Source organism: Homo sapiens, chromosome 9, assembly GCF_000001405.40.
Source record: "Homo sapiens chromosome 9, GRCh38.p14 Primary Assembly".
NCBI lineage: Eukaryota > Metazoa > Chordata > Mammalia > Primates > Hominidae > Homo > Homo sapiens.
The window spans coordinates 5,821,563-5,848,355 of NC_000009.12; the positions used below are offsets into that span (position 1 = coordinate 5,821,563).

The following is a 26,793-nucleotide window of genomic DNA, read 5'->3' on the forward strand; positions in this document are numbered from 1 at the left end:
AGCCCTTGGTAAGTGTTTTAACCTCTCCGGACTACACATATGTAAAATATGTTAACATACGTACATAAAATACTTATGCATTAATATATATGTACATAGAAAAAAATCTAGAAAGGGTGCAGATTAAACCATAAGGCTGGTTTTTCTCTGGATAGGAGCAGTATAGGGGCAAGGTGCTGTGCTAATAAATTAAAAGCATGGAGATGAAGGCACTTAACACATAGTATACTTCAACATGGAAAATACACAGACACACTCCTGCTTACATGGAGCCCTGACATTTTTCACAATAGGAAAGAAGACTGAGTGTCCTCTCTCCTTCAGAATTTTCTTTTGCTGCTTTTTGATCTGGTGGTTGTTACATGTATGTGTTCCTCCTATCCTAACTGACATCCAAGAAATAGAAAGAGGCCGGGCGTGGTGGCTCGTGCCTGTAATCCCAGCTCTTTGGGAGGCTGAAGCAGGAGGACTGCTTGAGCTCAGGAGTTTGAGACCAGCCTGGGCAACATGGCCAAACCCCATCTCTACAAAAAAAGGAAATTAGCCGGGCATGGTGGTATATGCCTGTAGTCCCAGCTACTTGGGAAGCTGAGCTGGGAGGATGTCTTGAGCTCTCAAGGCAGAGGTTGCAGTGAGCCGAGATCATACCACTACACTCCAGCCTGGGCAACGGAGTGAGACCCTGCTTCAAAATAAATAAATAAATATATAGATATAGATATATCTCTATAATAATGTATCTACTCACTCTTGTAGATATTAGATCCCAGCTTCTTCTCATTAGTTAGAGTAAGAATAAAGCAGAAAGGTTTGAGAATTGAAAACAGAACCTTGCTGCTTCTGACATCATGACCTTGAGAATCTCAAACGCTTAGCTAAAGTAAAATATACATACATTTTGAAAGATAAAAGATTAAAATAAGTTTGATGGAGACTATTAAAATATAGTATTGTTTAGGTTATGAAGACATACTTAGCATAGTTTCATAATTTAAATAAAATCAGGTCTTAAGAGGGTGCTACAAAACAAGTTCCCACATCATCTTACTTCACCTAGCCCATCTCAGCACACAACACACTCTTGAATATTAAAACATCTAGCAAATGCTACATCTCTGGATAAAATGCATTACCCAAATTTCTAACAGGGCAGGGAAATGGAATGGAACTTCCAATGTCAAATTTTAGTATGCCCCCACTAAAAAAATCTATGAGCTCTGAATTTTGTTAATAAAGACAATTAAAACCCATTTATGCCTGAGGTTGCAATTTTTTTAATTTTTGCATGTGTGAAAAATCAGACCTTGGCGATGAGGCTTGAGCAGTAGGATATAAATAACTCCCACATGCTTAGCGTTCCAATAATGGAACACTAGGCATAAATAGGCTAAGTTGATATCCTTAGAAAAGTTTAATCATAAAACTAAAACTATTTCTCTGGGCCAGGCATGGTGGTTCATGCTTGTAATCCCAGCACTTTGGGAGGCCAAGGCAGGAGGACCACTTGAGCCCAGGAGTTTGAGACCAGCCTGGGAAACATAATGGGAGCCTGTCTCTACAAAAAAATTTTTAAATAGCCAGGCGTGATAGCAAGCACCTGCAGTCCCAGCAACTCAGGAAACTGAGACAGGAGAACCACTTGAACCCAGGAGGTCAAGGCTGCATGATGGCACCAGTGCACTCGAGCCTGGGTGACAGAGCATGGCTCTGTCTCTAAAAAAACAATAAAATAAAAATTATTCTGGCTGATTAAATATTACTAAATTTTTTTAACATTCCACTAAATCAATGATAAATTTAAACCTGTTACATACACTACAGGTAAATTTTCTCATTTTAACTCATGAAATGATTGACATTTAACAATATTTATATCATAACCACCCACAGTGGCTAAAAGTTCACTACCTATATAACAATCCAATTAGAGGTTAAGAACAAAGTTTCTGGACCCGGACTGTCTAGGTTCAAATCACACTCTGCCATTAAACAACTGTGAAACCTTAGGCAAGTTATAATCTCTCTGGACTCAGTTTCATCTCTAAAATGGAAGTAACAGTACTTATCTTACATGTTGTTTGGAGGATTCAATGACTTAATATATATGAAATGGTTTGAACAACACTTGGCATATAATAAGCACTATACAAGTGTTAGATGCTGCATTATTTGGTTCAAAATTTTTAACAAAGACAAGCTAACACCACCTCATGCTTTAAAAAGAATGCTCATTCAAGAGACTGTTTATTGAAGATATTATTTATAATCAAAAACTTTCTACTTTTACAAAAACTAGAATTGCATTAAAATATACAACGCACAATCTCACATACCTGTTTGGAATACAAGTTCTTTCCCTCCTACACCTGCTGCCTCTAGGTTAATGAATGCACGAATCAAGCTAGCCCAGGGGTGCTGAGTAATGAAACCATGACTGGCCTTAAAGAGAAGGAAAGAAAACAAATATTTGTTAAACAATCTTAAATTATCAGTCTTGATTTTGCTTAAACACAGAGAGACTACTTTGATGAGGTAAGGAATATGAAAACAAAATAATCGCTCTTCAAAGGCAGTATCCAAAGACATCTTCTGCTTCTTTTCCTATGCATAATGGCCATGCACATCAGGTTCGGAAAGTCACCTATCACAGAAGGCAGCCTGGTGACCATCAGCGGTGCCAAACAACATCCCTGGTAAGTACAAGGCTGTGCAAAAGAAAAGGCAAAGAGGGCCAGGCACGGTGGCTCACACCTGTAATCCCAAAACTTTGGGAGGCCATGGTGGGAAGATCACCCGAGCTCAGGAGTTCGAGACCAGCCTGGGCAACATAGCGAGACTCCCTCTTTTTTTGTTTGCTCATTTTTGAAACAGAGCCTGTGGCCCAGGCTGGAGTGCAATGGCTCGATCTCGGATCACCGCAATCTCCACGTTCCAGGTTCAAACGATTCTCCTGCCTCAACCTCCCGAATAGCTGGGATTACAGGCACCCACCACCACGCCTGGCTAATTTTTGTAATTTTAGTAGAGACGGGGTTTCACCATGTTGGCCAGGCTGGTCTCAAACTCCTGACCTCGTGATCTGCCTGCCTCGGCCTCCCAAAGTGCTGGGATTATAGGCATGAGCCAGCGTGCCTGGCCCCCTTCTCTTTTTAAAAAGAAAGAAAAAAAAGAGAACAGGAGAAGAGACGATCCATATGGCTGGGCATTTATTTGTGCCTGTCTCAAAACATCTCTGAAACTTCAATGTCAAAGAAAACCTGAGGAGAGTAATTATGCCAGCGAGAGCCCTTCTCTCAATCAAATCCTGCCACAATAATCTGCTAAGTGGAGTTTTCCAAATATTAAACATCTCTACATAAGTGGTTGTGAATTTGTTAAAGTACTGCTCATAAAGTATTTTTCTGCATATTATTTTATACTACCCACAGGAGTCATAAAAAATGCATTTACTATTTAGTAAATAATATTTAGCTATTATTATTAATCTCATCCTTATTCAAGCCTGATATTTAAAACAGTAAAATCTCACTTGCAAGACATTTTCCTCAGCACCATTAAAGAGAAATATGACAGCATGATGCAAGGCTTCTGAAGATGTTGACAAGACGCGAAGGACTTCCAGCATCACTGAGCAGCTAACTGCATCATCACTGGCACCTTCAAATCAGAAAAACAAATTTGCTGCTCAGATTTTAAAATGTTTACAATATGACCCATTAGGACTAGGAATGGAGCTTTCTCCTCAGAGAAGCATCACAATAGCTGCATGACCAGAAGCATAGCTCTGTCATCATCAGGTGACAATCACACCCACCAGCAGTAAGTTCCATGAAGGGATCTTTGTCTGGTTTGCTCACTGACTTACTCTCAATGCCTACTACCATGCCTGACCCACCAGAGTCACTCAATTAGTGTCTGCTAAATGAAGTAACCTGAGGGGACCTAAAGTCATACTGGAAACTGGTATTCTCAGCAAACCAAGGCAATCTGTTCTATTCTTTACCCGTATTCCACATCCTCTGTAATAGTCTCACTTCTGGTGCTCACAGCTTCCTGCATCATCTCCCACTGCACCCACTCCTTTCTTGCTTGTTTTCCTGCCAAAATCATAAAAGCTGCACAGAGAGGTCACTTTGGATGGTGTAACATTCCTTTAAGGCTTCTCCAAGGGGATTATGTGATGGAAAACTAAAAAGAAGATACCTAATCTAGTAAGTCACAGGAAAGGAGACTAATGACCTAAGTAGTATCCTAGGTCCCAGAACACACACTCAGTTGAATCTCTGAACCTCTTCTTGATTCAGAAATTTTGTATGTTAATTAAAAGTAACTATAAAGATGACTTAACTGTCTTGCTTTTTTAAAGCATTGTAAGAGACAATTAAAGGAATTGATTGGATATTTGATGATACCAAGGAATTACTGTTAGGTTTTTTTAGGTGAGGCAATTGGTGGTATCAAAAAGGGCCCTTATCTGCCAGCAACACAGAGTGAAATACTTTTAGAGAGGAACTGATATAGCTAAGATCTGCTTCAAAATAATCAAGAAGTTGGGAGGGTAGTGGTAGGAAAGAAACAAGATCAGACTGCTGAAGCTGGGAGATAAGTACACTGGGGTTCATTAAACAATTCTGCTTTTGAATATATTTGAAACTTTCCATATCAGAAAACTTAAAGAGTAATCAAAGTAAATAAGCACTAACGTAACTCAGGCAGTAACATTTCTGGGTTTACACATTTGAAGCAGGGTGCCAAAGAGTTTGGCGTGGATTTGAGAGCAAGAAAGATTTGGAAGTAAATTTGAGCTCTGTCACTTTACTCCACTATTTCCTGGTTGAAAGAGCAAGCTAATGATACCTACCTCACAGGTTTAAGAGTCACACAAGATAATGCCCAGTGCCTAGCACCTGGTAGGTATTCAATGTTCATTTTTCCCTCTCTTTGCAAATCTGAGGAAGGCTCTGTAGCTAGCTAAAATTAAAATGCTTGTTTGGGCTCTGTTAAATTCCAGACCCCATTCCTACTTAAGAAGAAATTACCTATTAACCATACTTGTCTTGGTGGTGATTACTGGTTTGTATTTCAATCGAAGTGAAACAAAGTAATAATCATTTAATTACTATCAAATAGAAAATGCTGCTATTAGCAAAATGTGTCACCTTCCAAAAACCTAATGAAATAAACTCTCTTTTTAATTTGACACTGTGAGTTACTTTAAAATAGAGAGCAAACAATAAAATGTTTCTTTATTCAAAAAGAGAGAAAGGGAAATTGAAAGGTATCTATACAGGGTTGATTAAAAAGTTAAACTGTCCATTCAGCTTCCCTTATTTTAATGGTTCTGGTGCGTTAAAAGAGAACTACAGAAGAGTCAAATATCTTTAAGAAAGGGAAGGAAAGTTAAGAGGACAGTATCTATAAGGGCTAGGTGGTTAGCTGACATCCCTTTCCATTTAGAATTAACCTTGAAATTGAAGCCACCCCCAAAATAACTCAATGCCTCTTCTACCAACGACCTGGAACCACACAGCAAACTCAAGAAGATAATTAAGGCTTTTCTGTGGATAACATTACTCCTAATTGGTATCAATTCCTGAGTCCTAGATACACAGATGAGAACTTAAAAAGAAAAAAAGAAAAAAGAAGTGCTTCAATTAGGCCATCCACTAAAAGGATTTAGGTGATAGTCTATTTCAGGGGTGTCCAATCTTTTGGCTTCCATGGGCCACATTAAGAGAAGAACTGTCTTGGGCCACATATAAAAGACACTAACACTAACAATCACTGATGAGCTAAAAAATAAAATAAAAATTGAAAAAAAAATCTCACGTTTTGAGAAAGTTTATGAATTTGTATTGGGCCACATTCAAAGCTACCCAGGACTGCAGGTTGGACAAGCTTAATCTATTTGATGAATGTGTGAAACACTATTTTTAACAATTTATTATTGACAGAAATTGCCTTGAGATTGTTGCTAAGGGTATTCCTATAAAATTTTAGTTAAAAGTAGGTTCTAGGGCCAGGCGCAGTGGCTCACACCTGTAATCCCAGCACTTTGGGAGGCCAAGGCAGGCAGATCACGAGGTCAGGAGATTGAGACCATCCTGGCTAACACAGTGAAACCCCATCTCTACTAACAAAAAAATAGCGAGGCTGAGGCAGGAGAATGGCATGAACCCGGGAGGCGGAGGTTGCAGTGAGCAGAGATAGCGCCACTGCAGTCTGGCGTGGGCGAGAGCGAGACTCCGTCTCAAAAAAAAAAAAAATTCGCAAGGCATGGTGGTGGGCGCCTATAGTCCCAGCTACTCGGGAGGCTGAGGCAAGAGAATGGCGTGAACCCGGGAGGCAGAGCTTGCAGTGAGCCGAGATCGCGCCACTGCACTCTAGCCTGGGCGACAGAGTGAGACTCCGCCTCATAAATAAATGAATAAGTGAATGAATGAATGAATGTACGTTCTAGGCCAGGCACAGTGGTTCCCACCTGTAATCCCAGCACTTTGGGAGGATGAGGTAGAATAATCACTTAAGGAGTTCAAGACCAGCCTGGGCAACAAAGTGAGAACCTGTCTCTATTATTTAAAACATAATAATAAAAAGTGGGTTCTAATGGCTCACAAAAATGCTGGCCTTTAATTATTAGACTCCACATATACAATCTGTAACATTTGGCACTATGTTTGTAAAGAGTAACTGAATATGCACTCCAAAATATGTCACTTTGACATACGGATTATTTTGAGCTGAAGGCAACTGAGAAGCAGGTACTATACAAAAAAGCTCTCTGCCCTCCCCTTGTTTGCCTAAAAGCAGGGTATACATTTACCAAGGTGTCCCCACTTCCCCTTTCCACCAGGAAGTACAAAGGTTGATCAAGAAAGACAACTTTAAACTTTTGGTGGCCTGGCAACAGCACAAAAGGAATCTATATAACACTTTACTAACTAACCTTTCTCTACCATTTATTTGCCTTCCTTCAATTTGCCACCCCTCGAGACTCAAGGTCCTTTTCCTTTGTCACTTCTCTAAAAATGTATTGTTTGGTTGAAGATGCTACATAAGCCAGATTTCTAAGCCACCTCTTTGAGATGTACTCATTTTCCTTGAGTATCTCCCATGTACATGAAGTGCATGTGTTAATAAACTTCTATTTGGTTTTTCTCTTTTTAACCTGTCTTTTGTTACAGGGGTCCACTCAGCTAAGAACTATGAAGGGTAGAGGGGAAACTTTTTTCTTTTGTCCCTACATTTGCTGCTAATTCTTGTATATACAGCCTTCTTATATAATGTTCTTAAGCAACCATGGTGTTTATTTGCCGCTTCCCAGAATTTAAGCATCATAATAGTGGGCAAAGAGTGACATTTATTACTGCTTTGAAATGGACATAAAAAAACCACTGGTGGCCGGGCACAGTGGCTCACACCTATAATCTCAGAAATTTGGGAGACTGAGGTAGGCGGATCACTTGAGGTCAGGAGTTCAAGACCAGCCTGGCCAACATGGTGAAACCCTGTCGCTGCCAAAAATACAAAAAAAATCAGCCGAGTGTGGTGGCACAGTAGGAGAATCGCTTAAACCCGGGAGGCAGAGGATGCAGTGAGCCAAGATTGTGCCACTGCATGCCAGCCTGGTGACAGAGTGAGACTTGGCCCCCCAGCCAAAAAAAAAAAAAAAAAAACACTAAACCACTGGTTACCCCAGCAGCACACGAAGGTACTTCTGGCTTATTTAACAAACGTGTGTATACTGATTTTTGAAAATGCAAGTTACATTCTAAACGCAATTGTCAAGCTTTCTAAATGAAGATATTCTAATATGAATCATTTTATCAAGCAAATAAATTTTACTTACATTTTGTATAACTCTAGACGTTCAAATTTGGCCTGCTATAAGTTCGAGTAATCCAGAAGTGTTAATATTACATAAGAGTTAATAAAAACTTTTAAAAATCACTTTCCATGCCAGGTACTATTTTAGCGTTTTACTTATTTTTAATCCTCCAAGCAACACTATTAGGAAAGTACTATTATTTTCTCCATTACACAGATGAGAAACTAAGAAGTTAAGCAATTTGCAAAAGGGAGTATTAATTACACCCTAATATTCTTTTTCCTTTCAAATGTAGCTGAAAGAACTGACTGGCCAGGAAATCCAGCATCTTATCCTAGTTTTGTCTCTGATCAGCGATGACCAGCTAGCTAAATGTACTCCTGTATCAAATGAGGGGTTCAGCCAGATGCCATCTCAGGTCTTGTCTACCACTAAAATGCTATGCCATTGTAAATGCTATTTTCCATCCCTATTTACAATCCCTTTAACCACTGAATACAATTTTCTGAAAAATAAATATTTTAATAAATGGAAGTTCAATTTAGGGGATTCCCATTCATTTGACAAATATATACTGCATCAGGCACTGTCCTAAATGCAAGTATTCTATTTTGCCAAATGATTTTCAGAGAAAGATTTACACATTAATTAGGTACTTTAACAGTATGGCACCCTCAGTGGAGCAAAATTCTCACTTTATAGGTCAACAGAATCTGCTAGAAGAGATATCCGCCAACCCGCAGCCCAGGACAGCTTTGAATGCAGCCCAATACAAATTTGTAAACTTTCTTAAAACATGAGTTTTTTTTTTTAAGCTCATCAGCCATCATTAGTGTATATTATGTGTGGCCCATGACAATTCTTCTTCTTCCAATGTGGCCCAGGGCAGCCAAAAGATTGGACACCCCTGCTCTAAAACCATGCAGTAACCCTTGAAGGCAGGGACTGTCCTTATGTGGTATCCCCAAAGCCTAGTATAACACCCAGCTGAGTAAAACACTTTCTAAGTGTCAGAACCTAACTCCAGGACACTAGGACACACACACTGTCTGGTAACATTGAGAAAGCTGCTTCAGTCTACCAGAAACATTCCAAGTCTTATCACTGGGCTGCTGGCATTAACACCAAAAAATAATATTAATAAAGCACTTAAGAGAAGACAGAATGGTTAGATCCTAAACTAAATGATACTATCCTAATTATCCTGCTTTCCATCACAAAGAAAAAAGGTTTGCCCAAGAAAATGGTCCCCACAATTGCCCAAGTAGCTTGGGGTTATGTTAATAAACTTTCTGGGCTGTGACAAGTTCCAAATGACTAAAAAACAGGTACATACCTGGTGAGTTTGCTACTGAGTCAAAATGACAATTAGCCAAGACAGCATGCTGGGCTCCATCTCTGGGTTCCAGCTTTACCACAACATTGGTGATGTTGTCATAATAGCTTGTAAAACCTCCCAAGAAATCAATGCTAAAAGAGCCTGTGGGCCGTTGTACATCTACTGAAATCTTATGAAGGCTGTTGCTTTGCACTTCAATCAGTTTAATCTGTTCCAAAAGGTAGTGCACGGTCAGAATTTCATTTTCTGGACTTCCTGTAGTCCTGGGGCCAATGGAGGTTATGTGTTCAAGATAATCCCTGGAAGTAACCAAAAGAATAACAAAGGTTTGTAGTTAAAATTGACACTTAGCGTGGGTAACTTTTCCACTACACACCCCTTCCTCCCCAAAAAAGCTTAGTTCTTTGCCTTATATAAAAGGGACCGCCTTTCATTATTTCAGACACCAAGTGAACATCACTTATAAAGTTCCATATTTTTATTGTTGCCTCCCACGAGTTGACCCCTTCAGTTTTCTCCACCATCCCACTCCCAACTTCTCCCCATATCAAACCAATACAAGGACTAGGGATGTATTCAAAACGTGTGACCACTGGCCAGGCACGGTGGCTCACGCCTGTAATCCCAGGACTTTCGGAGGCTGAGGTGGGTGGATTGCTTGAGCTCAGGAGTTTGAGACCAGCCTGGGCAACATGGTGAAACCCCATCTCTTCTAAAACTACAAAAACTAGCCAGATGTAGACTACTATCCGCCTGTAGTCCCAGCTACTCAAGAGGCTGAGGTGGGAGGACTGCTTGAACCTGGGAGGTGGAGGCTACAGACCCGAGATGGAGCCACTGCACTCCAGCCTGGGCGACAGAGCCAGGCCCTGTCTCAGAAAACAAACAAAAAAAGCTAAAGACTAAGCAGGATAGAATATAACTTCACTGTGCATACTCCTGAACGTTACAGATTCTGGGTTAATGACTTTAAGTAGCAGAAACCAATGAGCAAAAATAATCAAGTCAAGAGGTTAAATAAGGCGGGCGGGGGAAACTTTTGATGGACCTAGCCCTCCTAGCATACACCCAAGGTCTAATAACTTCAATTCAGGCCAAAACCAACTGTACCCCTAATGAAAACAAAACTGTTTTTGTCTTTTCACTGCATTCCAAGTGGGGAAAGCTGGAAGTGGGGGTGGGAGACGTTTCAGAAAGTCCTTAATAAGCTTGCAACACTTTGCATTCTAGCAAAAACTTTTTAGAACACAGTAGCTGTTGAAAACTTGACGCCAGCTTAACACTTCATGAGCTTTGACACACCTGGGTTACAATATCTTTGACTTAATCACCTTTCCTAGCATTCTTAAAGGTCTTAAAAAAAAAAAAAAAAGTCAAACCTTACACAGTCACTAATCCAAGGGGCCTAAAGATAAACTGCAGGGATCTGAGAATTTATCAGACTGCATACCAAATTTTGACTGGGCGGTGTTCCAGAAAGAGTTTCTATAGCCTTCAGATGTGGGGGCTGTAACCCTCAGAAAGTTAGAACAGTGCACTAGCGCCTTCCAAAACTCCCCGCCCCCAAAGCGAATTTATACAACAGTCTAGGTACACAAATTTCCATCTGGAAAGCAGAAGGGCTAAGCAAGGTAAAAAGGGGAAGCTGTTCCAGAATATGGGGAGACGACTCACAACCAACCATCTGCACGAAGGGCAGACAGTGGAAAGCAGGTTCAATCTACCTGGCAACCCCAATCTGCACCACGAGCTTAACCGGGGACAGGCAAGCCCCAAGTCCCGGCAATTCAGACCCCAGAAGAAGGACAAGCAAGGTCACCCCACCCCACGTGCAGCCTGGGAGGGGTCAGCGAGTCCCAGCGGTCCGGCAGGGGCGGGTGCACACAGGTGCGGTGCCCCGGAGCCTGCGCAGGAGCCGCAAACGGACGCGCGGGCCGTGCCAGGAGGGAGCGGCCGGTACCTGGCTTGGAGCGCGTCGAACTCCCCGCGGTGTCCAGCGGCCCCGCGTAGCACGAGCTGCTGCAGCGAGAGCTGCACCAGCGTCCGCAGCGCGATCAGGTAGAGCGCGAGCCCCAGCGCGGCGCGCACCTCAGACAGCCCGGTCCCCGCGCCCCTGCTCGCGCCGCCGCTACCCCCGGGGCTCCTCTTCCGCGTCCTCCCGCCGCCGCTGCACCCATCCACCAGAGGCTCCTGCGCTCGGGCCTCCCTCTCCGGCGGTGGCGCGGCCGCCGCTCCCTCTCGACGCTCTACTCCGACGCGGTGCCGCCTCACAGCAGCCGACTCAGAACCCCACTCCATGGCCACGAGCCTCAGCTGCCAGCCCAACCGCCCCAACCCGCGACAGCCCCGGCCGCCGCCGACGCCGCCGTCGCTGCCGCAGCGCCTCCTAGTGAGCGGACGGAAACTGCAGAGGGCCAAACTTCTTCTGATTGGCCCGTCCCGCCGCGCCAAGACCCAGCTTCTTTGGCAGTTCTCGGGTGCACACAGCTGCAGGGCCGACCCAGCAGCGGGTGGTGGATATGCCGTCTCCCGCAGGGCTTTTCCAGCCCTCTGTAGGACGGAGATTGCCAAATGTAAAGACACCTAAAAACCCAAAACGAGAAAAATGAGAGATCGCTTTTGAAAGAACACACAAGGCTCTTACAGTGCATCAGGCAGATGAAAAAAGCAATGACCTGGCTTTCGTAAGGAAGGAATATTAGAACATCAGGCTCCAAAAAAGTGGGTTCCTGGCTCTTAAAATTAGAAATAAGATTACGCAGAGGAGGCCCGGCCTATTGCTTTCACATGCATAATCTAATCAGATCTTCATAACTCAGCAACTTAATCTGTGCTATTACTGTCTCCATTTAACAGATAAAGAAAAATAATGGCTATTATTTATTGAATACCTGCTATGAGCTAAGCGCTAGGTCAAGTCCTTTAATACATCATCTTATTTAATTATCTTTAACAATACTTAAAAGGAAATATCTTTGTTCCCATTTTATAACCTGAGAAACGTAGAGATAACAGATGAAGAATGTAAATCTAATTTCATGGGCTCCCAAAACAGCATTCTGTTCCACTACTACATTAGCACTCTGCAAGTGAAGGTTCAGAAAGGCCATTCTTCACTTGACGACTCTCTGGGGCGGTTAAGCAGCAGAGCCTTGGTTTCAGTGCAGATCCTAGTGATTATCTAGTCTTCTTCCAGCTTGCCGGTACCCATGAGCCTCTCTGCTCCAAGGTTTTTTGTCCCTAGCTTGGAGTTGCTACATTAGCATGAGCATTAACCTAGAGACCAACTGGGAGAGCACACTGCCGGATTTTGACTTAGCACATATGTCAGATTTCATACAATGCCCTATAGTCCTGCTCTTGCCCACCTCTCAGGCTCCTCTGACACCAGGATGCTTCTTATTTCCAGCTCTCCAGCCACACTGGCCTCTTTCAAAGACTTCCTGCACGCATCTTTCCTTCTACAATAGGATCTTCTCACATGCTGTTTGAATTACCTGGAGTGTTCTTCTCTCTCCTCATTGTCTTTTTAACTCCTAGTTATCCTTTAAATCTCAGATTAAGTGGTACTTCCTCAAGCAAGAATCTCCTAATTTAATTAAGCTTGCTTCCCCTATTTGTAGGATCTCACAGCACCATGTTTGCATGTGACTATTTCATAACTTCCTCATTAGACTGTAAGCCCCACGAAGGCAGGAATCAGGTCTGGTTTTACTCACCATTTTATTCCTTGCTCTTAACACAAAGCATGACACATAGTATGTAGTCAATAGATATTTCTTGAGTGAATGAAAAAATGAAAACATACCACTTTTGTGGCAGCAAGCATAATTTTAGCTCTACAAGATCCCTTTCAGTCTGTAAGCACTATGAGACTAAAGACAGTGTCTATCTTATTTAATCATCACTGTATCCATAGTGCTTAGCTCTGGATAAGAGCCTAGCCCATGGTCATAACTATATGTATGTATATATGTGTGTGTGTGTGTGTGTGTGTGTGTGTGTGTGTGTGTGTGTATGTCTGACAATATCCCATGGTACCATAATAGGGAAATGCCTGGCTGCCTGGCTGTTGGGGACGGGTAGATCTGAGTTCCTGGATCTGGTACCTTTAGTACACATGGCATTATTCAAGTTACAATCTCACAGAGTCCACGTGTATTTATCTGTGGTAATGCAGATGATACCTGCCTTAAGGGGCTTCAGTGAGGATTAGATAGATAGACAGATGATAGATGGATAGATAGATGTGTGTGTGTGTGTGTGTGTGTGTGTGTGTGTGTGTGTGTGTGTGTGAAAGATCCTCACATAAGATTCTCATTAAAAACTATTTTTCAGAATTTTCCTTCTCATGAAATCCTTTGTAGATTAGATTAAAAGCTACTTTCCTATCATGATAATCATAGAACTCTAGGTGGTAGGAGTTAAGTTACAGCTGAGTTCCTGAAAGGCAGTTTTTCTCTATACTTGTATAGTCTACGGTATTCACGTTTGAATATTTTTAGCTACTAGTTGTTGGATATCTACTTGTGTCAGATACTGATTAAGGTGGAGAAACAGAGAAGAACAAATCAATGTTTCTACCTTCAGAGAGCTTACATTCTAACAAAGAGACAATGAACGCGCGCGCGCATGTGTGTGTGTGTATAAAATGTCAGAGAGTTAAGTGCCATAAAGAAAAATAAAGCAGGGAAATTGAGACTGACAAAAGCTGCTGTTTTATTAGGGTGATCAGAGATGGTCTCACAGTCTCTCTGAGAAGATGACATTTGAGGTGACCTGAATGAAGTGAGGAACAGGGCCACATAAGCCTGGGGAGAGAATGTTCCAGCAGAGGAAAGTGAGCTGGGATGTTCAGAGGCAACGTCGAATAAGGCATGCACTAAAGCAGACTGAGCCAGGAGCCCTGGTAGATGTGAGGTGACAGAGGTGGGTAGGAGCCAGTGCAAGGAAGGCCTCCTGGCCCTGGTGAGGACTCTGGGGTGGTTTTGAGCAGTGAAAGGTCATGCTTTAGGTGATGTTATATAAGATCACTCAGTCTCCATCCCAGGCAGAGCAGCACAGTGACCACATCTAGAACATATAGGCTTATAAAACACTTTGATAATGTCTGGTCTTTGAAGTGTTCAAAGCCAGTTTGATCTATAATTTTATTTGTGTTAAAAGTAGACCACAGTGAATTGGAACACATGCTCTAGTTCTCACATATCAAATCCCTGATAAGGATGAGGAACAGATAAATGTGAAAGGTTGTGGCTGCCCCGTCTGGTGAGCTATTGATCATGGGGTTGAGTCAACTCATCTGACTTGGCAGGCAGTTATGCTTGTGTCTCCCTTTATGACAAAGTAAGAGCTAAACTGACTGACAGACATAGAGATGTCCCATGTCCCTTCTGTCTTGCCATCTTTTCAGTATTTCCTAGTAGTTTGGCCAAGGTAAGTGGAAGGACATATGAGCTGTCAGGATTCAGGTGAACTGCCAGTTTCTGTCTTCCCCACAGGTCATTCCATAGCCAATTTGCCGTAGAAGAAAACCATAGCCTGTGTACTTTCTTCCTTGGAAGAGAGGCTACCAGTGTATCTGGTGAAGTTCTCTGAGGCTCAGGCTAGCAGAAGGATGCCTTTTACATGATGTTACAGTGACATTCAAATCAGGTGAGGTACCAAGCCAAGAGATGAGAAGTGAGCCCAAACCAGTTGCAGAAAAAAGAAGCAGTTGTCAAAAGCTGACAGGCAGAGCAAGTCAAAACCAAGTGCAAGGATTCCAAACGTGGAAGAGTTTATGGGTAAATGTAGCTAGGTGCTGTTGCGGATAGCTTGGTTTTCTGTGCTCACTGAGGTGGTATGAGAGTGAACCAGCTTTGTTTAAAGGTTCAGGGTACACCATCAGTTTTTTTAGGTTTTTGTTTGTTTGTTTGTTTAGATCCCTTAAGGCTAAAGCTTGGGCGTCAGGGTGCTGTTGGACAATTGATCTTTCCAACTCTGAAGCTCTGAAATGGAACATTCAGGAACTGGTGACAATGGTCAGCTCCACGGATCACCTCCAACAAGCCAGGAAACCTGGGGGCTGACAGTGCTGGCAAGAAAGGGCATTCTAAAAGGCACATGAGCCAGATCTGTAAATCTTCAGAGCTTTTCTACCCCCATGAGCTTAACGGGCCTTGGAGCCTAGGGAGAGGGTAATTGCACTCTACTTTTAACCCCCCCTCAAATTCTGGGCTGGTCCCCTGTGTTTTCTACGTCCCTGTATCTAGGTAGGCACAGAGAAGTTAGAGAACAAGCCTGGCTGCATTGCTAGCTGAAGCCACTATGTCAGTTTACCTTTTTTCCATGGCCTAGTAGAAAAGAGATTCTCTGATTCTGGAATACTCTATATTCATCTTAAAAGCCTTTCTGAAACAAATGGGGTTGAGACGATTGGTTATTTTCTCTTTTTTTAGAGACAGGTTCTAACTATGTTGCCTAGGCTGGACTTGAACTCCTGACCTCAAGCAATACTGCTGCCTTAGCCTCCCAAGTAACTGGTACTATAGGTGTGCCACTGCACCTGGCCAATTGGTTCTTTAGGGGAAAAAAATCAAATTAGAACCTCATACCATATTACACACACATCCACACACACCCACAATATTCAAGTACAATTCAGAATCAAATATCAACAACTTTTTAACTAGTACAAAAATAAGATGAATATAATTAAATATTTATAATAATCAAGACTCAAAAGTACAAGGACTCTTTAATCAAAAGACAAGTGGAAGATATCATAAAGGGAAAAATCACATATTGGCTACACAAAATTAAAAACTTCTATACATCAAAAACAGTCACCAAAAAGATGAAAAGTCAAATGACAAATGGAGGACATGATTTTCAAAAAACGTTTTTCAAAAAGGGGATAATATGTGTTATATACATTATTCTTTCTCACTCTTTCTGTTCGTGTGTGTGTGTATATGCATGCGTGCACAAAAATCGGTAAGAAAAATATCAACGCCTCAATAGAAAAACATGTAAACCATTCACTTTTTGTAGCAAAGGAATGCATGTGAAAATGTGGACCATTTTTATCACATTGAAAAAGCATTTTTTCACTGGGCACAGTAGCTCAGCCTATAATCCCAGCACTTTGGGAGGCTGAGGCAGGCAGATAACTTGAGGCCAGGAATTCGAGAGCAGCCTGGGAAACATGGTAAAACCCCATCTCTACTAAAAATATTAGCTGAGTGTGGTGGCATGCACCTGTACTCAGGAGGCTGAGGTGGGAGGCAAGAAAGGGCATTCCAAAAGGCACATGGGCCAGGACTTGCAGTGAGCCAACATCACGCACTGCCCTCCAGCCTGGATTATAGAACGAGACTGTGTCTCCAAAAAAAAAGAAAAAAGCTATTTTTTAAAATTATAATATGCACATTTGGCAAACATTTTATTTCTAGGCACTTTTGTGTGATGCTGGAGGACTACATATTGAAAAGACCTTTCTGGAAAGCAATTATGGAAGATGTACCAGGAGCCTTAAAAGAATTCACAGGCAGGGTGCAGTAGCTCATGCCTATAACTCCAGCACTTCGGAAGGTCGAGGGGGGTGAATCACTTGAGTCCAGGAGTTTGAGACCAGCCTGGGCAACATAGCAAGACCCCATCTCTACAAAAAATACCAAAAAAATTAGCTGGGTGTGGTGGTGCATGTCTATACTCCCGTCTACTAGGGAGACTGAGGTGAGAGGATCGCTTCCAGGAGGTCAAGGCTGCCATAGCGCCACTGCACTCCAGCCTGGGCGACAGGGCAAAACCCTGTATCAAAAAAAAAAAAGAAGAAGAAGAAGAATTCATGGTTTTTGATGTAGTAATTTCATATGTAGACATCTATCAAAGGTGTGATTTCAAAAAATGCAAAAGGATACTCATCTGTAAAAATCAAATATATGGAAATGACTTAAGCATATAAAAATAAGAGTTAAATAAATTATAGTACATTCAGAGTTTGGAACGTCATATATTATTAAACACAACTTTACCAAAGTCTGTTTAATAACGTGAGGGAAATGCTCACATTATAAATATTAAGAGAAACAAAAAAAAAAGACACAAAATGGAAATAGATAAGAATATACTAGTGAATAGTAAATAAAAGAAAGGAAAGAACACTAAAGCAATAACAGTGGTTATCTCTGGGTGATTTTCCCCCTCTATTCATTTCTCTACTTTCCACCATTTCTGCCATGAGTTCAGTGTTCCCTTTAAGAGCCATGGGCCTGGCATCAGTCTCCAGCAACCCTGTGCCTAGGAAGGCACTTGTCTGTAGATCACCATCATTTTAAGCCTTAGGAAGGCAGTTTATAAATTGATTCCAACATGGATGTGATCCAGGAGGGGAATGCAATGTCAAAAAGCTGATCTCCAGCCTGTATTCCTCAAGCACATTTCTAGACTAAAAAGTTTAGGGTCAAGATTCAGTAATTAATCAATTGCTGAACCAATTAAAAAAAACTGAGAGAATTTTCACTTAATCATTGTTCTTTAAATTCAGTCTGTGACCTGGGAGAAGAATTGGTGCATATACTTTTTAATGGCTTTGGATTTTGAATTTACTTTTCCCTCCTTCATAGCACATTCCTCATACAATAGGAGAAGAACCCATGAACCCGGAAGTCTCTAGGGATTTATTTGAGGGTCACACACCCAGGGCTCTGTTTGACTTTCTCCACTGGGCTGCAGTGGCAGGTGAGTTAGGACACAGGAGGTGACTCAGCAGTTTGGGAATGAGAGTCACTGACTCATGTGAATTTGCTCCATGCTGAAACTCGATTGTTTTAGTGAACTAAAACATTAATGAGAGTTTACATTGCCAGAGCTCAGCACATCTAGGTGTGCGCACCTGGAGACCCCCAGCACTTCCTGAGCCCCCCTCTACGTAGCTATCTCCTCCTGCAGCCCCCTGAAGCCCTCTTGCAGGCTGTGTCCTGGAACGGTTTCACTTGGCTTTCGGGCTGCATGACCTTCTTCAGGTCTTTACTGGCCTAAAATAGCCTCTGCAGCTGCTGCTTTCCAAGATGCCCAAAGGAGAAAAGAGACAACAATGGATCTTGTAGGAAAATGGCAAATATCTCTCAAAGTGTGGTCTGAGGACCATGTAATATGAGAATCACATGAGGACTTGCTAAAAAAATCATCCTCCTGTGTCCTACCCACCTACTTGGTACATTAGCAATCCATAAGCAGAAAGTCTAGGCCGGGCACGGTGGCTCACGCCTGTAATCTCAGCACTTTGGGAGGCTGAGGTGGGCGAATCACTTGAGGTCAGGAGTTTGTGACCAACCTGGCCAACATGGTGAAACCCCGTCTCTACTAAAAATACAGAAATTAACCAGGCGTGGTGGCGCAGGCCTGTAATTCCAGCTACTCAAGAGGCTGAGGCAGGAGAATCACTCGAACCTGGGAAGCTGAGATTGCAGCGAGCTGTGATGACACCACTGCATTCCAGCCTGGGTGACAGAGTGAGACTTCGTCAAAAAAGAAAGAAAGAGAGAGAGAGAAGAGAGAACGGAAGGAAGGGAGGAAGGGAGGAAGGTTGGGAGGGAGGGAGAGTCTACTGCATCCAACTCTAGAGGTAGGATCCTGTAATCTGTGATTCCTACATAAGCTAAAATGGTAAATCATGCCATAGCCAAGGGTTCACATGTCCAAGAAGGATGTAGGCCAACTGTGATGATCCTGGGCCAGATCACCCCTCCTGCAGCTTTATGAATGTCAGGTCTGCACTGCCATCTTCTCCCTCCCTACCCATGCCCACTGCCCCTCCCCGGCCCCCAGGGCCAGAAAGACTGCATAGCACCTTGCCACACCACATTGGAAAATAGGGATGCAAGAGGCAGTACGATGCCGCAGTTCAGAGCATGGGTGCTGCGCTGAAAGCACTCCAGTATGTTCTTCTGTAACCTGCGGTGTATCCTCCAACGAATGACTTAATTTTGTTATGCCCGTTTCTTCATCTGAGAAGTGGGGTTAATAGGGTTGTCCTGAGGCCCTAGATCAGGAGACCTGTGCCAGCTGTTGCTATTATTCTGTGGTTGGAACCTTCATTTGCATGGCATTAAAACCTTCATTTGCATGGCATTACAGAGGCCAATCACTCCTCTGCTCTGTAGTTGGCTAGGTGGATGAAAGGCAATAGAAAATGCTTAGCCAAGTTCTTTCATAGCAACCTAATTTAAAGTTGATGAAAGGCAACTTGTCACATGAGCCTGAGGCGAACTTGATTTATATTTTACTTAAAGGGCAACTTTTTAATTGTTAAGTGTTACTGTTCTGCTCTCCCTACCCGTAGGAATGTAACATTCATACCCTTGCAGGTATGTACCTCTTTATTAGTTCCTTCTTGTGAAAGGCGGTGTAAAAAAACCTGTTATCCTTTCTCATCTCAAGTCTTTAGTTCCCCTTGGTACATTAGCAATCCATAAGCAGAAAGCCAGAAGTACCAAGAATAGGTTCTCTATTTTTAAAAAATTATAAAAACTTGTTCACAATATGATTCAGCTACAAAAAGGAATGAAGTACTGATACGTACTATAATGGGATGAGCCTTGAAAACATTGTGCTAAGTGGAAGACACCAGACACAGCAGGTCACATATTATCTGATTCCACTCATTTAAAATATCCAGAATAGGTAACTGCATAGAGGCAGAACACAGGTTGGTGGTTAGAACGGACAGGGCAGAGGCGAGAATGGAATCAACTGCTTAAAAGGTATGGGGTTTCCTTTCTGGGTGAAGAAAATGTTTTGGGGCCAGGTGTGGTGGCTCATACCTGTAATCCCAACACTTTGGGAGGCTGAGGCCAGTGGATCACTTGAGGTCAGGAGATCAAGACCAGCCTCGCCAACATAGTGAAACCTGTCTCCACTAAAACATGCAGCTGGGCATGGTGGCACGTGCCTGTAATCCCAGCTACTCAGGAGGCTGAGGCACAAGAATCACTTGAACCCGGGAGGCAGAGGCTGCAGTGAGCCAAGATTGCGCCAATGTGTGTCCGGAACTGGTTCCTTCAGGTGAGTTCTTGGTCTCGCTGACTTCAAGAATGAAGCTGTGGACCCTCGCGGTGAGTGTGACAGTTCTTAAAGATGGTGTGTCTGGAGTTTCTTCCTTGTGGTGGGTTTGTGGTCTCACTTGACTTCAGGAGTGAAACCACATATCTTCGCAGTGAGTGTTACAGCTCTTAAAGGTGGCGCATCCGGAGTTGTTTTTTCCTCCTGGTGGGTTCATGGTCTTGCTGACTTCAGGAGTAAAGCTGCAGACACAGACCTTCACAGTGAGCGTTACAGCATATAAAGGTAGTGCGGACCCAAAGAGTGAGCAGCAGCAAGATTTATTGTGAAAACAGAAAGAACAAAGCCTCCACACAGTGCAAGGGGACTGGAGCAGGTTGCAGCTGCTGGCTGGGGTGGCCAGCTTTTATTCCCTTACTTGGCCCCGCCCACATCCTGCTGATTGGTCCATTTTACAGAGTGCTGATTGGTCCGTTTTTACAGAGTGATGATTGGTGCATTTACAAATCTTTAGCTAGACACAGAGCACTGGTTGGTGTGTTTACAATCCTTTAGCTAGACAGAGAAGTTCTCCAAGTCCCCACCAGACCCAGAAGCCCAACCGGCTTCACCTCTCAACTGCACTCCAGCCTGGGTGACAGGCAGAACGAGACTGTCTCAAAAAAAAAAAAAAAAGAAAGAAAAGAAAAAAGAAAAAAAGAAAATGTTTTGGAACTAGATAGCTGTGGTTTGCACAACATTATAAAGTACTAAATGCCACAAAGTTGTTCACTTTTAAAACAATTTTATATTATGTAAATTTCACCTCAATCAGAAACAAACTTATTAATTGTATATTATTCACAGCTGACTGTAGCAAGTAGACTATAAAAAGAAGTCTTAATTCCAGAGACAAATGCCTCCCCAAGTTCACTTTCAGTAAGCCATTTGCTACTCTGTTGCTGTTATAAATTGTGATGATAATAAGTGCCTTGGATTTCAGTAGCCTCTTACTTCCAAGCAATTCAAAGTACTAAATCAGGATTTCTGATCTCCGTTTTTTAAAGAAAATCAATAAACAGATCTGTAGCAGAGATGCTGATTCTTTAGAAAAGGCTAAGGAAATCGCTTAATTCATAGCCTAAAGTTTTAAAAGCCTTTTCCCTCTCAGATTCCTTCATGATTCTAATATCCTAGCCAGAGATAAGGCTAATCTTTAAGAAGCTCCACAAAGTTGTGAGCCCAAATTAAGAGATTCAGATACAAAAAGCCAAGTGACAAACAGACTTGTTATTCAAAAGTGCTATTATGTCAGCAAGGTAATTGGGACTTATTTAGGGAACAGAAAAGAGCATTTACCAACCATTTCCTGACATGGGCAGATAAGGTGATAGAATAAAACAGGTCAGGTTAAGGTTAGAAGGAGTGGTAAGGACTGGCGTGAACTAGAACCCTGGCTCCACCTAAATCAGTAACAGTAACCATAGCTCTGCGGAATTTGGGGCTCAGCACAGCCAAATCTGCTATTTTTTCAAGAAATGACAGAAACTCAGATATTTATGTGAAACCTTCTGCTCTGTTAATGTTGGAAACAAATTTAAAAAGAGAAGAACATTTTGTGTGCCAAAGAAAATAGGTGTGTAAACTGGATTCCACCCACCTGCTGCCAGTTTGAAGCCTCTGAGCCCTCACCTTTAAGCCCTCAAGGACATACTTGATTAAAGATAAAATATTTCCCTGAGTGGGGATCAGGTTATTCATGAGATTCTTATCTCCAGATTTGGGGGAAAGTTTATAGTGCTAGAATGTATCAGATGTAGCTAGCCAGTCAAGTCTCTTTCTTCTCTCCTTCTTAGTTGAGAGGTCAGTCTTGTCAAATGCCCCCCTCCCCGCTTCTAGCCACTGCTTTGTTTATTTTGCAGGAACAGTGAATAAGTAGCAGAACGCTTTCTGAAGTTTTTGCTGATGCAGAGCCGAAGATCTCTGCTACAACAAATGTTCTGAAATGGAGTCTTCTCTCTCATCCCCATCCCCTACCACGGACAGTGTTGCACACACCGGGGTTGTAAAACTCAAAGGCAGAGTTACAGCCCTCCTGGATTTTAGACCAAGCCTGGGGATATGCAGCTGTATTTACTCTTCTTGTGTGTCCTGGGGGGAGGAAGGATGGGAAGAGCAGTGCATCCTGGAACCGTGGCTATGGAAAATAACGAGCACTCCTCCACCCCCTGGCCAATACCGGCACAGACTTAATTTGAGGGGTAATGTTCTGTGAAGTATGATGGCATTTCCGGGAGAAGAATCTCAGTCAGACCTACAATCAAACATACATTTCCTTACCAGGGGTAAGGAAAAAAATCTTTCCTCTTAAAATTAGACACCCTGTCCTGGAAAACACTAACATCCTACATCCTGAGACTTCCTTCCTGCAGCCTTCCAGCTCTTTCTGCCCAGACTCAGATGTAAGTGGCCAAGTAGCCACAGGCTGCCTAGCAGAGAAGATTTTGTGTTTTTTTGTTTGTTTGTTCGTTTGTTTCAAGACAGAGTCTTGCTCTGTCACCCCAGACTATAGTGCAGTGATGCGATTTCAGTTCACTGCAACCTCTGTCTCCCAGGTTCAAGTGATTCTTGTGCCTCAGCCTTCTGAGTAGCTCTTATTATAGGCATGTACCACCATGCCTGGCTAATTTTTGTATTTTTAGTAGAGATGGTGTTTTGCCATGTTTCCAGGCTGGTCTCAAACCCCTAGGCTCAAGTGACCCACCCTCCTTGGCCTCCCAAAGTGCTGGGATTACAGGCGTGAGCCACCACGCCTGGCCCTAGCAGAGAAGATTACAGTCAATCTTTGTGAGAACTAAAGAGAAACTTCTGCCGTCACCTTTGCGGAGAACTGTCAAGGAGCCGCTTGGTCAGAAGAGCAGGAACTCCTCTGGAAGAAGCCTGGGCATACCTCCTGCACCCCTCCTCATCCCCTTTTTGTTTATATATGGGTGGATTTTTCAACTTTATCAGCCTTGCAGGAAACCATAAATATATTTCCAGTTGACAGTCAAGTTTTCTGGTTGTGAACCTCAGGTCTTCTAAAGTCACCATCTGCTACAGAAACAAAAGTCAACAAATACCACATTCTTCCCAACTGGTCTACCAAAAATTATGGCTGCTTTGAGCATGTCAGCCTTGTGGTTTTCTTCAGAGGGCAGGATGTGTCCTGGCCCCTCTGGTAGTTTAGCTTGGTTTCCTGCCAAAGCGAACAGGGGAAAATGTCCCCCCACCCCCGCCAGCTCTTCCTTGGGGCAGTATAGGGCCTTTGAAACTTAAACTTGCATTTGTCGAGCCTAAAACTTGAATCATCGTGTTTTGTTTTTGTTTCCATTGGGAAACTTTCAGTGTTTTTTTTTTTTGTTGTTGTGGTGGTGGTGGTTTAATTTTTTTATAAATCATTGTTTCTTCTTAAAGTTTTAATGCCCCTGACCTGTGACTCTGAGAGGATTTGACAAATTATCTGTGCTCTTAAAAGGAAGTTTCTTGTCAGGTGTTTTTGCTTGTGCCTATAATCCCAGCTACTTGGGAGGCCAAGGCGGGAGGATCACTTGAAACCAGGAGTTCAAGACCAGCCTGGGCAACATAGCAAGACCCCATTTCAAAATAATAATAATATTAAAAGTAACTTTCTTAAAGTTTGAGGGAGTGGGGAGGAGGATGAAGAGAGAGAGAGAATAACTTATTCAAGTTATCTTCTCTTTTTCTTTCACAAAACTAACTCCTGATTGATTGATTGATTGATCGATCGATAGATTATCTGGAGTTCTTCCAGCCTGTGGATTAACTGCACTCCACCTCATCACTCCCTTCCATTTGCTACCAGTGTCTTTTGTTATTTCTGCCACAGATTCTCTAGTGAAGAAAAGAAACCACTCAAATTGGTTCTCCTTGATCACACCAAAGAGAGGTTGTAGGGTGCCCTCTTAGAGCAGACAGTGGAGTCAACTCTTGCCTCAGGAGAGCACGCCTTGCTAAGGGCTCTTTGGGTATTTTTGTGAGGAGACTGAGGAGAACTCAGTAGGCCTGAGGAGTATTTTTGAGGCCACAGAACCATGGACAGGTGTAAGGGGAAGTTCCAGGAGGGAGGCAATTAGTGTAACTGTTGTTCAGGCCCTCGGAGTGTTTGGGTCAGGGAGAAGGGCAGAGAAGAAGCCACTTTGGAGTGTCAGGCAGGCCTGGATGGGCAAATGTGGCCAGTCAGTGCTTCTTGAACTTGTTTGTGCTTAGGTGCTACCTGGGGATCTGGGTCTGGAGAGGTTGGGTGGGGTGGATTCTGCACCCCTAACACAGCCCCTGCTCATGTTCATGCTGTGCTTTACCTCACTAGGTAACCACACTTTGTGAAGCAAGATGGTAAATATTCTGGGAGCTAGGGACAGCTTAAAGGTAAGGCCAGAGGCAAGGCCAGGGACAGCAAGCAAAAGCAGCCTGCATCCATGTCACTATTAAGGCACCAGATGGACAGTCTTACTGGAAGCCTGCCAAAAGTAGAGCAAGACCCCTCCCCCGCCACCCACCCAGTGGCCCACAGATCTGGGCTCAAATCCTAGCTCTGCTACTAATTTGCTGTGTGACCTTAAGGAAGTCATTTCATCCCTCTGAGGCTGTTTCCTCATCTGTAAAAACAGAGATATTAAAACCTCCCTTGGCCATTTCACAGGGTTACCCTGAAAATTAAATGATATAAGTATGGGGAAGCTGTTTGTAGCTGCCAAAGTACTTTGCAATGTAACCTGTGATTATGTCAGATAGATTCCTCTTGGGAACCTTGCATGGTTTCACTCATGTATGTGTGATTATCACATCTAACTACATTTCCCAAAGGATTGGGCAAGCACTTACTCCCGTGGGTGTGAAGGGGAAGAGTTCATATTTATTTCATCATGCTTCAAAGCCTTTGCAACTGGTCCATAGCTCAGGTACTTTGCTATCCCTGTGGTTCAACATTAATCACCTGTTTTATGGGGTGGTTATTCCTTTCTGAAAGGATGGAGGACTTGTTTGTGTTTATGGACATTTCCCCGTTCTATTTGAGTTATATCACATTCCGCTTTGACCCAAGCAGAATAGTTGATTTTCCTGTTCAGCATGGAACTGGACGCCCTTTAATTAGGAAACTCTGAATGGGTATGCTGCAGAGATTTATGGCAGACAGAGACCATTTCCTTCAGGTTTCCCACAGGGGTGCGATGGCCTCCCCCAACCAGATTCAGCATATTCTCTCCTGCATCCTCTCAGCACCAATGCTCAGCAGCCCATAGGCAGCCCTCAGCTACAAAGAATGCCCAGGGGATGGAGGGAAGAGACGCCAGTAAATTGAATTTGCTGTTTAACTCACTGTTAGATCTAGAAAATATGGGCTTTGTTTTTTTCAATTCTTACAATTACTCAATGTGTTTTGAAGATTAGAATTTTGCATCTATGTTATCAACCCAAATATCATCACTGATTGTGATGCTCGATGTGGATGACTATAAACAGGCCCAGCCTCATTCTGTTGTCCAGGCTGTAGTGCAGTCTGCTCCTCTGCCTCCTGGGCTCAAACGATCCTCCCGCCTCAGCCCTCCAAGTAGCTAGGACCACAGGGGCATGTCACCACACCCAGCTAATTTTTGTATTTTTAGTAGAGAAGGAGTTTCACCATGTTGCCCAGGCTGGTCTTCACCTCCTGAGCTCAAGTGATCACCTGCCTCGGCCTCCCAAAGTGCTGGGATTACAGGTGTGAGCTACTGCACCTGACCCCCAGATGGCTTTTTCACTAAAACCCCAATTTTGTTCCTTCTCTTAGGAATAACATGTACAAAACAAAACAAAATCGGCCAGGCGCAGTGGCTCACACCTGTAATCCCGGCACTTTGGGAGGCCAAGGCGGGCGGATCATGAGGTCAAGAGATCGAGACCATCCTGGCTAACACGGTAAAACCCTGTGTCTACTACAAATACAAAAAATTAGCCGGGCGTGGTGGCAGGCGCCTGTAGTCCCAGCTACTCGGGAGGCTGAGGCAGGAGAATGGCGTGAACCCAGGAGGCGGAGCTTGCAGTGAGTCGAGATGGCACCGCTGTACTCCAGCCCGGGCGACAGAGCGAGACTCCGTCTAAAAAAATAAAAAAGACAGGAAAAAAAAAAAAACCCAAATCAAAAAAATCAGAACAAAACAAACCCCGTAAGATGGGTTTATTATTATCCTGGTTTTATCAATGGAAAACTGAGGCTTAGAGAAAGGATATCATTTACTGAAGGTCATACAGACACTAAATGGCTGAGGTGGGATCTGAAGATGAGTCTGTGTGGTAGGCAGAAAAACAGCCCCCTCAAGATGTCCACATCCTAATCCACAAGACCTTTGAACGTATTCCTTTACTTGGCAAAGGGACTTTCAAATGTGATTAACTTAAGGACCTTGAGATGGGGAGATTATCCCAGTTATCTGGGTGGGCCTGATGTAAACACATGGATCTTTATGAAGGAAAGCGGGAAGTAGGAGAGTAAGAGAAGGAGACAAGATAATGGAGGAGGTCGGAGTGGCCACGAGATGCAGACAGCCTCCTGCAGCTGGAA

At 43.1% G+C, this 26,793-nt stretch overlaps 1 protein-coding gene across 6 annotated transcripts in view, besides 9 other annotated features; it reads right to left on the bottom strand.

Annotated features, from left to right (window-relative positions):
• The window catches only part of ERMP1 (endoplasmic reticulum metallopeptidase 1), an 82,520-nt gene that overhangs the window by 36,991 nt on the left and 18,736 nt on the right, over positions 1-26,793 (bottom strand). For 4 of the 6 annotated variants that reach the window (NM_001410952.1, NM_024896.3, XM_047423897.1 and 1 more), the window contains exons 1-4: positions 11,128-11,555; positions 9,165-9,466; positions 3,530-3,657; positions 2,334-2,439 (exon numbers count right to left, since the gene is read on the bottom strand). In NM_001410952.1, the coding sequence (NP_001397881.1) occupies positions 2,334-2,439; positions 3,530-3,657; positions 9,165-9,466; positions 11,128-11,465 (874 nt within the window). In that variant the 5' untranslated portion in view covers positions 11,466-11,555. Of the gene's footprint in view, positions 1-2,333; positions 2,440-3,529; positions 3,658-9,164; positions 9,467-11,127; positions 11,556-26,793 lie in introns of those variants that run through there. The other 2 variants (XM_047423898.1, XM_017015139.3) reach the window with 2 other exon arrangements.
• Positions 11,122-11,341: a silencer, noted in NCBI's record as "silent region_19755". NCBI's record gives its function as "represses an Ori minimal core promoter by ATAC-STARR-seq in GM12878 lymphoblastoid cells {active_cell/tissue: GM12878}" and the evidence as "EXISTENCE:reporter gene assay evidence [ECO:0000049][PMID:35858748]".
• Positions 11,422-11,641: a silencer, noted in NCBI's record as "silent region_19756". NCBI's record gives its function as "represses an Ori minimal core promoter by ATAC-STARR-seq in GM12878 lymphoblastoid cells {active_cell/tissue: GM12878}" and the evidence as "EXISTENCE:reporter gene assay evidence [ECO:0000049][PMID:35858748]".
• Positions 17,631-18,220: a transcriptional cis regulatory region, noted in NCBI's record as "candidate enhancer chr9.120 targeted for multiplex CRISPR interference". NCBI's record gives its function as "positively regulates ERMP1 gene expression with high confidence in K562 cells {active_cell/tissue: K562}" and the evidence as "EXISTENCE:mutant phenotype evidence [ECO:0000015][PMID:30612741]".
• Positions 17,727-18,021: an enhancer, noted in NCBI's record as "tiled region #2314; HepG2 Activating DNase matched - State 5:Enh, and K562 Activating DNase unmatched - State 5:Enh". NCBI's record gives its function as "activates a minimal TATA promoter and a strong SV40 promoter by Sharpr-MPRA in HepG2 and K562 cells {active_cell/tissue: HepG2 | K562}" and the evidence as "EXISTENCE:reporter gene assay evidence [ECO:0000049][PMID:27701403]".
• Positions 17,844-17,988: an enhancer, noted in NCBI's record as "145 bp enhancer 261/262 fragment used in the MPRA reporter construct; PK_construct_3116". NCBI's record gives its function as "activates an SV40 promoter by MPRA in HepG2 cells {active_cell/tissue: HepG2}" and the evidence as "EXISTENCE:reporter gene assay evidence [ECO:0000049][PMID:23512712]".
• Positions 17,901-17,911: a transcriptional cis regulatory region, noted in NCBI's record as "NFE2L2 motif; MPRA enhancer 261/262 activity is reduced when this motif is scrambled". NCBI's record gives its function as "necessary for full MPRA enhancer 261/262 activity {active_cell/tissue: HepG2}" and the evidence as "EXISTENCE:site-directed mutagenesis evidence [ECO:0005528][PMID:23512712]".
• Positions 20,193-20,342: an enhancer, noted in NCBI's record as "active region_28177". NCBI's record gives its function as "activates an Ori minimal core promoter by ATAC-STARR-seq in GM12878 lymphoblastoid cells {active_cell/tissue: GM12878}" and the evidence as "EXISTENCE:reporter gene assay evidence [ECO:0000049][PMID:35858748]".
• Positions 22,951-23,070: an enhancer, noted in NCBI's record as "active region_28178". NCBI's record gives its function as "activates an Ori minimal core promoter by ATAC-STARR-seq in GM12878 lymphoblastoid cells {active_cell/tissue: GM12878}" and the evidence as "EXISTENCE:reporter gene assay evidence [ECO:0000049][PMID:35858748]".
• Positions 23,201-23,320: an enhancer, noted in NCBI's record as "active region_28179". NCBI's record gives its function as "activates an Ori minimal core promoter by ATAC-STARR-seq in GM12878 lymphoblastoid cells {active_cell/tissue: GM12878}" and the evidence as "EXISTENCE:reporter gene assay evidence [ECO:0000049][PMID:35858748]".